The sequence below is a fragment of the Homo sapiens genome, chromosome 1, assembly GCF_000001405.40.
Source record: "Homo sapiens chromosome 1, GRCh38.p14 Primary Assembly".
In the NCBI taxonomy this organism is placed as follows: domain Eukaryota; kingdom Metazoa; phylum Chordata; class Mammalia; order Primates; family Hominidae; genus Homo; species Homo sapiens.
Window position 1 is genome coordinate 200581414 of NC_000001.11, and position 13052 is coordinate 200594465.

The 13052-nt window shown below is 37.9% G+C and overlaps 1 protein-coding gene across 15 annotated transcripts in view; it reads right to left on the reverse strand.

Annotated features, from left to right (window-relative positions):
- Window positions 1-13052, reverse strand: part of KIF14 (kinesin family member 14) — a 69255-nt gene that overhangs the window by 29917 nt on the left and 26286 nt on the right. For all 15 annotated transcript variants that reach the window (XM_047436198.1, XM_047436190.1, XM_011510232.3 and 12 more), the window contains 5 exons: window positions 12254-12356; window positions 10667-10827; window positions 8712-8859; window positions 7804-7956; window positions 4688-4814 (listed from right to left, as the gene is read on the reverse strand). In XM_047436198.1, the coding sequence (XP_047292154.1) occupies window positions 4688-4814; window positions 7804-7956; window positions 8712-8859; window positions 10667-10827; window positions 12254-12356 (692 nt within the window). The remainder of the gene's footprint in view (window positions 1-4687; window positions 4815-7803; window positions 7957-8711; window positions 8860-10666; window positions 10828-12253; window positions 12357-13052) is intronic.

Genomic DNA, 13052 nt, shown 5'->3' on the forward strand with positions numbered 1-13052 from the left:
ATTGCAGAAGGATAAGTGATATTTGAGTAATTTGGTGAAATAAAACATTTTTCCTATAAAATGAGGTTTTTGCCTGTGGGAAGATGTAAGAAAATGGAAGTTGATATAAAAAAGATAAGCCAAAGACAATGCTTTACTTTCTAATATCTAGAAAAAAATTTTTTTTCTAATGTCTTTTTTCTTTCTTCCTCATTTCTAAATTATTTCAAGTATTGAGTATTCTATAGTCTTACTTATGTAGAAACATGTCCTTTTGTATTTTGCCTAAAAATTTTAAAAAATGTATATATATATGTCAGGACATTAAAATAAAAAAGGAAAATAATTTAGTACACAATTTCACTTTCCTTTTTTTTTTTTTTTTTTTTTTTGAGTCAGGGTCTCACTAGGTTGCCTAGGCTATATAGTACAGTGGCTCAAGCATGGCTCACTGCAGCCTTGACCTCCCCAGGCTCAAGTGATCCTCCCATCTCAGCCTTCCAAGTAGCTGGAACTACAGGTGCATGCCACCACACCCAGCTAACTTTCTTATATTTTGTAGAGAGGAGGTTTTGCCATGTTGCTCAGGCTGGTCTTGAACTCCTGGGCTTAAGCAATCTACCTGCCTCAGCCTTCCAAAATGCTGGGATTACAGACATGAGCCACCACACCCAGCTCCTAATTTGAATTTAAGATTATGACTGGGCACAGTAGCTCATGTCTATAATCCCCATATTTTGGGAGGCTGAGGCAGGAGGATCACTTGAAGGCCAGAATTTCAAGGCTTGCCTGGGCAATATAGTGGCACCCTATCTCTAGAAAATAAAATAAATTAGCCAAGCAAGGAAGCATGCACCTGTAGTCCTAGCTACTGGAGAGCCTGAGACAAGAGGATCACTTGAGCCCAGGAGTTTGAGGTTGCAGTCAGCTATGATGGCACTCTGCACCCCAGCCTGTGTGACAGAGCAAGACTTTGTCTCAAAAAAAAAAAATTTATCATAAATATTTTCTATATTGTTCAGACAAACTTATAACCAGTAATCTACTAAAAATAGCTTTTTGGAAGGATAAACTCATTCACATGAATTAAAAAATCAAGTAATCATTGTAAGGCACTGTCTAGGCCCTCAGAAGAATAAAAGTATTGCCTCCTGGCAATAGATACAAAGAGTATTGGCTGGGTGAAGTGGCACACAGCTGTAATCCCAGCACTTTGGGAGACCAAGGCCGGTGGATCACCTGAGGTCAGGAGTTTGAAACTAGCCTGGCCATCATGGTGAAACACTGTTTCTACTAAAAATACAAAAATTAGTCAGGCGTGGTAGCGGATGCCTGTAGTCCCAGCTACTCGGGAGGCTGAGGCAGGAGAATTGCTTGAAAGCGGGAGACAGAAGTTGCAGTGAGCTGAGATTGCGCTACTGCACTCCAATGCACTCCAACCTGGGTGACAGAGCAAGACTCTGTCTCAGAAAAAAAAAAAAAGAGTATTAATATTTTAAAAGTTATTTTAAAGAAGTTACAGAAAGTACACAACATACCTACCAAGTATTCTTGCTAAAAAACTGAACCTGAATTTGATAGGCCTGAAGATCTAACTACCACTTTCTAGGGAATACTGGAACAGAGGAGCCTGTTAAGTAACACCAGGCAGACACAATCAGCAAAATCCAGAATCCAAAAAAACTCTACAGGACAAATCATCTGATTTCTTCAGCAAATTACTAGATGAAAGAGAAGAGTGAATTTACAGATTAAAAGAGACTTAAAAGGCACATCTACCAAACGCAATGTGTAGATGATGTTGGTATCCTGATTCAAACAAATCAAGTTTTTTTTTTAAAAAAAGGATGAAACAATCCAGGAAATACGAATATGGAGTAAATATGTGATGTGTAAGAAATTATTATTAATATAGTTATGGCAATGCTTAAAAGAGTGACAGAGAAAGAGAGAGAGGGAGAGCAAAAAGAGAGTCCTTATCTAATTTAGAGATACACAGTGAAGTGTGTACACCTTAAATGATATGGTGTCTGGGATTTGCTTCAAACTAGTCCAGGGAAGCAGTGAGCTTGAGGATAGCGGCAACAAGATTGAACATGTGTTGATAATCATTGAAGTTGGATAAATATATAAAGGCTTACTGCAGCAATCTCTACTTTTATAGTTTGTTTAAAATTTTCCATAATAAAAAAGTTTATATTAAAAATATGCTGTGTTTTACATAGAAATGTACCAAAAAAAGTGCAATCAAAAGTCTCCCAGGACTTGGCTAGGCATGGTGGCTCACACCTGTAATCCCAGCACTTTGGGAAGCCGAGGCAGGCAGATCACCTGAGGTCAGAAGTTTGATACCAGCCTGGCCAACATGGTGAAACCCTGTCTCTACTAAAAATACAAAACTTAGCTGGGCATGGTGGTGCATGCCTGTAATCCCAGCTACTCAGGAAGCTGAAGCAGGAGAATCGCTTGAGCCTGGGAGGCAGAGGCTGCAGTGAGCCAAGATCACACCACTGCATTCCAGCCTGGGCAACAACAACAAAAAGACTTTAAAAAAAAAAAAAATAGTCGGGCCGGGCCCCGGTGGCTCACAACTGTAAACCCAGCACTTTGGGAGGCTGAGGTGGGTGGATCACGAGGTCAGGAGGTAGAGACCATCCTGGCCAACATGGTGAAACCCCATCGCTACTAAAAATACAAAAACTGTACTCCCAGCTACTTGGGAAGCTGAGGCAGGAGAATCACTTGAACCCGGGAGGCGGAGGTTGCAGTAAGCTGAGATCGTGCCACCATACTCCAGCCTGCCAACACATAAGACTCTGTTTCAAAAAAAAAAAAAAAAGGTCTCACAGGACTTAATGGCTTCACTGGTGAAGTCTACCGAACAATTAAAGAAGAATTAATGCTAACCCTTTTCAAACTCTTCCAAAAAGCTGAAGAGGAGGGAACATTTCCAATTCCTTTTGCAAGGCCAGCATTACCCTGATACTAAAGCCAGACAAAGACACTACAAGAAAAGAAAACTACAGGCCAATATCCCTGATGAACATAGATCCAAAAATCTTCAACAAAATACTAGCAAACCAAATTCAACAGCACATTAAAAGGATCATACACCATGATCAAGTGGGGTTTATCACTGGGATGCAAGGATGGTTTAACATATACAAATCAATAAATGTGATATACCACATTAACAGAATAAGGATAAAAATCATATGATCATTTCAATAGGTGCAAAAAACCTTTGACAAACTACAACATCCTTTTATGATAAAGACTCTCAACAAATTAGATATAGAAGAATGTACCTCAACATAATAAAGGCTATATATGACAAGCCCATACCTAACATCTTCAATGGCAAATAGCTGAAAGCTTTTCCTTTAAGATCAGGCACATGACAAGGATGCCTACTCTCACCACTTCTATTGAACATAGTACTGGAAGTCCTAACAAAACCAGCTGGGCAAGAAAAAGAGATAAAAGGTATCCAAACTGAGAAGGAAGAAGTAAAATTGTTAGTTTATAGACGACATGATCTTATATATAGAAAACTCTAATAACACCACCAAAAGTGAAATAAGCCAGACATAGAAAGATAAATACTATATGATCTCACTTATATGTGGAATCTAAAAATGTTAAACTCATAGGCACAGAGAGTAGAATGATGGTTACCAGGAAATACAGGATAGGGGAATGGGAAGATGTTGGTCAAAGGGTACAAAGTTTCAGTTATGCAGGATGAATACACTCTGGAGGTCTAATGAACAGAAAGTTGCCTATAATTAATAATACTGTATTGTATACTTGAAATAAGAGAGTATATCCTAAGTGTCCTCATGACAAAAAAAAAAAAAAGAACTAGGTGAGGTGATAAATATGTTAACTAGCTTGATTATGGTAATCATTTTGCAATATATGTAAAAACATCATGTTGTACATCTTAAATATACATAATTTTTATTTGTTAATTACATCTCAGTAAAGCTAGAAAAAAAATCTCTTAAGAAAAAAATGTCTAAGTGAAAAAGAAAACAACGTAATCCATGACTAAGCACAACTATTAACAGATATAAAACAAAGATTAAGAATTAGAATAAGATATATTTTTTAAAAACATGCTGCACATTGAAATTTGGCTTACTATTTGCTCAGTTGCAGTACTATTAACAAATTGCCAGACTGGGTGGCTTATAAACAACAGCAATTTATTGCTCACAGTTCAGGAGGCTGGAACTCTGAGATCAGGGTTCCAGCGTCGGTCAGGTTCTGGTGAGGGCCCTGTTCTGGGTTGCAGACTACCATCTTCATGCTATGTCCTCACTTGGTGGAAGAGGTGAGGGGACTCTCTGCAATTTCTTTCACAGGGGCACTAATTCTATCTATGAGGGCTCTACCCTCATGACTTACTCACCTGCCAAAGACCTCCACTTCCTAACACTGCTGCCTTGGAGGTTATGAATTCAATATATTAATTTTGGGGGAACACAAACATTCAGTCTAAAGCATTGATATAATAAATATTCTAAAAGCTGAATATTCAAAAACAACCATTCATACAAATTTATTTAGATCCAGAAAAGTCAACAACTAGAATAAAGTATTTTGAATATGTAAAGGCAACTAATGCTAATATTTTAGTAATTATATTACATATAACATGCATAATTTTAGAAAATGTTTGCTAAAATCAGCACACACTTACCTGTAAAAGTTTTATCCCTATTATTCCGATTCTGCTGTAGAATTTGTACTTCTTTAGCAATTTTTTGCTTTTCAGTTTCTAAAGCTTCCAGAATTCTTGCATGGCGGATGCTATGGTCTTCTAAAGCCTAATTGATATTCATTCATACAGACCCACATGTGAGAATATGCAAAGAGAGAAACTATAACACCACATTGAGATGATGGATATGTTAATTTGCTTCACTACAGTAACCATTTTACAATTTATATACCCCATAACATTGTATAACTTAAATATACACAATAAAACCTATTTTAAAAAAACAGATTGATAATGATAACACACTACAGTAAACCTCATTTTACAGTACGTTTTATTAAGCCTATATAGTTAACATGTTTTATGTGCTGTATTAAACATGAAAAGCTTTTAAAAATGATTTATAAAATTTCCTTACAAAATAATTTTTCCCCACAACAATATTATTAGGAATTTTTGATGACATAAATTAATCTTTTTTCTTCCCATTGATAGAAGTTAAAAAAAAAACTAGAAAAAAAGAGGAAAAGAAGTCATTGTATCAAAAAGACTCCTGCATGTGTATGCTTATCACAGCACAATTCACAATTGCAAAGATATGGAATCAACCTAAGTGTCCATCAACCAATGAATGGATAAAGAAAATATGGTGTATATATATATACATACATATATATATATATATATATATATATACACCATGAAATACTACCCAGCAATAAAAAAGAAAATATCTTTTGCAGCAACTTGAATGGAACTGGAGGCAATAATTCTAAGTGAAGTAACTCAGGAATTGAAAACCAAATATCAGCATGGTCTCACTTATAAGTGACAGCTAAGCTATGGGTATGCAAAAGCATATAGAGTGGTATAATGCAGCGGTCCCCAACCTTTTGGCACCAGGGACTGGTTTCGTGGAAGACAATTTTTCCACGGACAGGGGCTCAGGGGTTGGTTTCAGGATGAAACGGTTCCACCTCAGATCATCAGATATTAGATTCTCATAAGGAGCGTGCAACCTAAATTGTGAACTGTGTGCACTCCTGGTACAATGGACATTGAAGACTCAGGGAGAGTGGGAGAGGGCAAGAAATGAAAAACTACCTATTGGGTACAATGTAAGCTACTCAGGTGACAGGTGCACTAAATCCTAGACTTCACCACTATATAATTCATCCACGAAACCAAAAGCAATTTGTACTTCTAAAGCTATTGAAATAAAAATAAATTAAAAATAAGAAAACCCCAAAAAGGCAGAAAAAAAAGAAGAAAAAAGGACAAACTGTTAAAAAAAAAAAGGCCATATCCAAGAACACTTGTTGACTAAATAAAGAAGTTAAATTTAAAAGATACAAGAAATCTAGTTTAGTACAAATAAGCATTATAAGCCCAATAATAATAATTGTTTTGGGGCCGGGTGCGGTGGCTCATGCCTATAATCCCAGCACTTTGGGAGGCCAAGGCGGGAGAATCATGAGGTCAAGAGTTCAAGACCAGCTTGGCCAACATGGTGAAACCCCGTCTCTACTAAAAATACAAAAAAAATTAGCCGGGCGTAGTGGCAGACACCTGTAATCCCAGCTACTCGGGAGGCTGAGGCAGCAGAATCTCTGGAAGGCGGAGGTTGCAGTGAGCCCAGATCACGCCACTGCACTCCAGCCTGGGCAACAAGAATGAAACTCCGTCTCAAAATAAAACAAAACCAAAAATGGTAACAATCATAATTGTTTTTCAAGATTTAAACAGTTCTATGTTTTTCTCCTAAAACTCTCTGAGGTGGTTCACTAGCCACTTTGTGTCCAGGAGTTGACTAGTAGATGTATAATAACTGTATTATGGTACCAATACTTTGCAATTACTAGGAGTATTTTATTCCACCCCCAACTCCCACCCTGGTTTCCCTGACCCCACAAACTTGGAAAAAAGAGAAATAAAATTGCCATTTGAGAGAGTAAAACCTTAAGATTAAGATATAAGGAATCAAAACAGTGGCTTGCAAACTTTAGTGTTCATCAGAACATCCCACAGGGCTTCTTAAAATAGGTTCTGTGCCCCATTCTCAGTTTCTGCTTCAGTAGTTCTGGAGTGCGGCCTAAAAATTTGCTTTTTGTTTGTTTGTTTGTTTTGTTTTTTTTTTTTTGACAGAGTCTTGCTCTGTCACCAGGCTGGAGTGCAGTGGCATAATCTCAGCTCACTGCAACCTCTGACTCTCGGGTTCAAGAGATTCTCCTACCTCAGCCTCCTGAGTAGCTGGGACTACAGGTGTGTGCCACCATGCCCAGCTAATTTTTGTATTTTTAGTAGAGACAGGGTTTCACTATGTTGGCCAGGATGGCATCGATCTCTTAACGTCGTAATCCACCCGCCTCAGCCTCCCAAAGTCCTGGGATTACAGGTGTAAGCCACCATGCCCGGCCTAAATATTTGCATTTCTAACATGTTCCCAAGGTGATGTTGATGTTGCTGGTCTAGGGACCACCCTTCAAGAACCGCTAATAGAAAGAATGGCCCAAAATACTGACAGTAAGGTGCTTGAAGGTATTAACATTCTGGTTTTATCCCTTAGGCTTGTGAAATTGATTAGTTGAGGTGGCCCATGAAAGATGCCTCTATCCTCAATGACATGATAAAAGCAGGCAGGTGCCTGAGCTCATAAGACTGAGGTAATGAATGCCCTACTGTGAGTTCTGGAAACAGGATGCTTGCTGCTCTCTCCACAGGCAGATGTTTCATTGTGACATCAGGATGTGACCCAGTGTAAGAGCTGTGCCTTTTTTCCTTCCTCATATGTGACCTAGTGCTATTTCACTTATTTAAATTACTTGGCATGACTGATGACCAGATAGTTGTAGATGCATAAAAAGAGAACACTGGAGTGGAACTAGATGGAAATAACTCTGTCACTTTCAAAATCTCTGTGTGATCTGTGAGCAGTACCAGGATATAAGCTTTCAGGCAAGAAGTACTTTTCTCATCTACACATCTACAAACCTGGATTTGGCTCTCTTCTGTCAACATACCATAAGCCACTTCTTTGAAAAAAAAAATCCAGCTTTTTCTCAGAATAGAGTTAACTGGTTACACAATAAAATTACCTGTTTTGTAGCCAATGTTTCCATTTCTAATCGCTTTTTGTTGACATATATTTCCTGTTCAAGATGCTGCTTTGCCTTTTCTAATTCCTCAATTTTGTGATTAGCCTTCTGGTTATTTATTTCCTGCATTTTTTTCCTTTGAGACTCTTCTCTCTTTAAAGAACAATAATAAAAAATATCTCAGGCAAAAACCGTAGCAAAAAAGTACAAAAGTCCCTTTCTTTAACCAATGTACAAGAAATTACTCACTAATAGAAAAGTTGCCCTATTAAAGCTTCTCCACTTCATTCAGGTTAACTAAAAATACTTAAGAGTATTATCTAAAATGGGCTTCTGGGAACCCAAGATTTCCAATAAACCATGGAGACAGCCATGACTCAAGCGGCTAGAGGACAGAAGTTTCTCTTTATTTTTATTCCAGTAGCCATTGTCTATTATCGCCACCAACTTTTTTCTTTTTTTTTTTTTTTTTTTTTTTTTTGAGACAGAGTCTCACTCTGTCAAGGTTCACTGCAGCCTTGACCTCCCTGGGCTAGATGATCCTCCTAGCTCAGCCTTCTGAGTAGCTGGGACTACAGGCGCATGCTACCACACCCAGCTAATGTTTTAAACTTTTTGGAGAGACCGGTTTCCCTACATTGCCCCTGGCTGGTCTTGAACTCCTGGGCTCAAGTAATCTGCCCGCCTTGGCCTCCTAAAGAGCTGGGATTACGGGCATGAGCCACCATGCTCAGCCCTGACTTATTTCTTAAAGTAAAATTAAAGAGGGCCAAGACTCACTGTGGCTTTGATTCACTAATCTCTGATCTCTCCCAGTTCCCTTATAGGGACATAATCAACTTTATAGGCAACACATCACTTGGGGTACACTGTCGGAAAAAAAAAATAAAACTAATTCTGCCTTTTACCAGTTCTGCTTCCAGTGCTTTTATTTTGCTTTCATATGCAGCTTTTTGAGAAGAAAGCTCTTGCTGAGCCATTTCTTTTGCAATCTGGATTCCTTGCATCATTTCTTCCTTTGCCTTCAACTGAGCCTCTTTTATTTCTGCTTCAAGTCTACAATGTAGCAAGATGTTTATAGGGTACATGTTAAGAATTCTTTATACATCATAATAGTTCTTAATCCTACTGAAAAGTTTTCCATTGAATGAAAGTTTCAATCTTAAAACTTGATTTCTGACATTCTATCAACAGTGTTTTTAAAATTTTCACTGGCTCTACAATTGTTTACACTCAAAATTTAAACACGCAGGACGAAAAATTGCTTATTTCTAACTTAGTTACTATTGCAGATGCCTGACATTTAAATAAAATCAGTGCTTTAGTAACTACATTATACAGAAATTTCCATTCCCAATTTTACTGAAAAAAAGAATAAGAGTATAAAAAAGAAGGTTAGTGGATATCACAGCTAGGGAGAGAGGAGAATGGCTATTGTTTAACAAATACAGAGTTTCAGTTTGGAATAATAAAACATTTCTGGAGATGGATGATGGTGATGGTTGCACAACAACGTGAAGGCACTAGGGTGGGCACAGTGACTCACGCCTGTAATCCCAGCACTTTGGGAGGCCAAGGCAGGTGGACTGCTTGAGCTCAGGAGTTCGAGACCAGCCTGGGCAACATGGTGAAACCCCATCTCTACAAAAAAATTCAAAAATTAGCCAGGCGTGGTGGTGTGCGCCTATAGTCTCACATGCTCGGGAGGCTAAGGTGGGAGGATGGCTTGAGGCCAGGAGGTGGAAGTTGCAATGAACCCAGATCATGCCAACTGTACTCCAGCCTAGACGACAGAGCCAGACTCCATCTCAAAAAAAAACCAAAAAACAAACAAAAAAAAAACCACAAAACAATGTGAAGGTACTTAATGCCTTTGGACTATACAATTAAAAATGGCTAACATGGTAAATTTTGTGCTATTTATATTGTATTCAATTAAAAAAATTCTTTTTAAAGGGCAAAAGCAGGTTGAGGCTTCTTAAAAGGTGACAAAGCAGTTAGTCTAGCCTATAACCAGTTCTTGATTCCTCCTCCTTTCATCCTCTTTAGTCACCAGGCCTTGTCAATCTTATCTCCTTTATGTTTCCTTCCTACCTAATCACACTATATTTACCTTACTTCAATAGTCTCTTAGCTGCATTTGCAGGTTTTAAGCTTGCTCTATCTCTAATGCATTCTCCAGATTTGAGTGCCAGTGATCTCTCTAAAAATGTAATTCTGATTATGAGTGTCTCACGTCTGCTCAAAATTCTTTAATGTTTCCCTTATCCTTTAAGATAAAGTCCAAACTCTTTAGCATTTTATTTGTATATACTTTACCATTTAGCTTACAAGGATACTACTTATGCCAGAAATCCTACGATACTGCATGAACTAAAACTGGGGCACAAGAAGAAAAGAAAAACAAAAGTACACTCTCCCAGTCTTCCTCTGGCTAAATTCTAATCGTCTATTGGGATTCTCCTCTATGGGACGTCTTCTCATCTTCTAGAAACCTTCCCTGATAACCGGTCAGGGCCAGGTGTCACCCCGTGAGCTTCCACACCACACAGTTCGGGACTCTTGTCAGAGAACTGTGTCATAGCACTGTTATAACTGTCAGCCCCTCGAGATGATGAATTCTTTCAGCACATGAGCTAAATTTCAATCCTTATTCTTTATATCTCCAGCATTTGGTACAGTGACAGACACATAATAGATGGTCAATATATATTTGGTGAACTAATGAATGTACTAAGAGAAAAAATTATATCACTAGAAACCAGCACCCAAAGAGTTAATTACTAGAGACTGGCACAATGTGATTAACTCTGTTGTAGATCTCTCTCATACACTTACTATTTCATATCAACAGCATACTTACTGTGATCTCTGTGCCATGAGCAACTCATTTTTTGCAAATTCAAAGTCTTTTGGACCCTCACTTATAGGAGTATCTCTTCCAGATGGCCTTTTTCCTTTCTGGACTTCTACTGGATGATTAAATCTAAAATAATGATCTCCACCAAGAATCACTCGATCACCCTAAAGCACACAAAAAAATGTACTACTTGAGGTGAGTCTCAACCAAAAAATTAAATGAGAAAATTTATTTTGCCCAACAATTCAATATAGTCTAGTATTAATGATAAACATAAACATCATAGCAACTAACATTTATTACTTTTTTTTTCTTTTGGCACAGAGTCTCACTATGTCACCCAGGCTGGAGTGCAATGGCACAATCTCAGCTCACTGCAACCTCGGCCTCACGGGTTCAAGCAATTCTCCTGCCTCAGCCTCCCGAGCTGCTGGGATTACAGGCGTGTGCCACCACACCCAGCTAATTTTTGCATTTTTAGTAGAGATGGGGTTTCACCATGTTGGCTAGGCTGGTCTCGAACTCCTGACCTCATGATCCACCCACCTTGGCCTCCCAACGTTTATTACTTTGTATATACCAAACACTGCATTAAGCACATTACACATATAGTCATATGTCTCTTAACAACAGGGATATGTTCTGAGAAGTACACTGTTAGGTGATTTCATAGTTGTGTGAATATCATGGAATGTACTTACACAAACCTGGATGGTATAGCCTACTACACACTTAGGCTATATGGCATAGCCTATTGCTCCTAGGTTACAAACCTGTACAGCATGTTACTGTACTGAATACCATAGGCAACTATAACACAATGGTAAATAATTGTATATCTAAACAGAAAAAAATACAGTAAAAATACAGTATTATAATCTTATGGGACCACTGTTACATATGTGGTCCCTCATTGCCCAAAACATCATTATGAAGTGCAAGACTTTATGTTATCTCATTTACGATTCACAACAACTCAGTGAGATACATATAATCATCCCAATTTTAGGAATGAGGAAACTAAACAGCACAAAGCTTAATAATAACAAGAGACATTCATTGAGAGCTTACTATTTGCAGATACTATTCTAAGAACTATATACACAAATTATTATTTCAGTTAATCCTTCACTATCTCTGAAAGGCAGGATATATAGAGTCACAATAGGTCTGGGTTTGCCTGTAACACACTGCTGATGTTTGTTCTCTTGATGTAATTATTAATAATGATCTCAAAAGTGTCCTGACTTGGGTGACATTGTTTAATCATCTAGTTAAATAACTTGCCAGACGTCACAGAGCAAATGGCAAAGCCAGGATTTCAACCCTGTCTGTCTGATTCTAAAGCCTAGCTCTTTATAGGACACATAATGATGCTATTAGTGGTCAGCTCTTCAGGTACTGATTCATATAAATGTAACTTTTGTCTTTGCACAAGAAAGCAATTAATAGGAAAAAGAATTTTTGAAATGAAAAAGTCCTTAATCTGCTTCAACACCCTTATCTTATAGAGAAAACCAGAACTCAAAGAAATTAAATGACTTATCCAAAGTCGAACAGTTTCTTATATTATAGCACCCATCCACTTACATGACGTAATACTGTGATTTCCAAAATATGTTTTCCATTTACATATGTCTTTGCTTCCCCAACTGGGATAATACTCACTGTCCCACCAAAATTTTTGATAGTACTGTTAAAATAAGAAGCACATAGTTAACAATTATAGAACACACTAAAAAGTAAGAAAAAGGCAATATGGGATAATTCTGCTTGGGCTATTCCTTTGGTGTTAAGATTCATACCAATATGTAACAATAATTTAAAATTATTTTATTTTCCTCCAACTAGTTTTTTTTTTTTTTTTTTTTTGAGACGGAGTCTTGCTCTGTCGCCCAGGCTGGAGTGTAGTGATACAATCTCAGCTCACTGCAAGCTCCACCTCCTGGGTTCAAGCAATTCTCCTGCCTCAGCTGCCTGAGTAGCTAGGATTACAGGCACCCACCACCATGCCCTGCCCAGCTAATGTTTGCATTTTAGTAGAGATGGGGTTTTGCCATGTTCGCCAGGCTGGTCTCTAATTCCTGACCTCAAGTGATCCACCTGCCTCGGCCTCCCAAAATGCTGGGATTACAGGCATGAGCCACTGCATCGAGCCTCCAATTAGATTTTGAAGTTTGGTGAAAAAAGCCTGGCCTCTAGCAATCCGATCCACCTGTGGTGGGAACATTCTTCATTGGGTGTATTTTTATTATAACTTCTTTGAAAACAAAAACCTTCCCCCAAAAATTCAAAAAAAAAAAAAAAAAAAAAAAAACTAGCAAAAAACATTAACATACTGCCAGTGATTTCTTATGAATAAAACAGTTTTAAGTGTTTTTTTAATTTT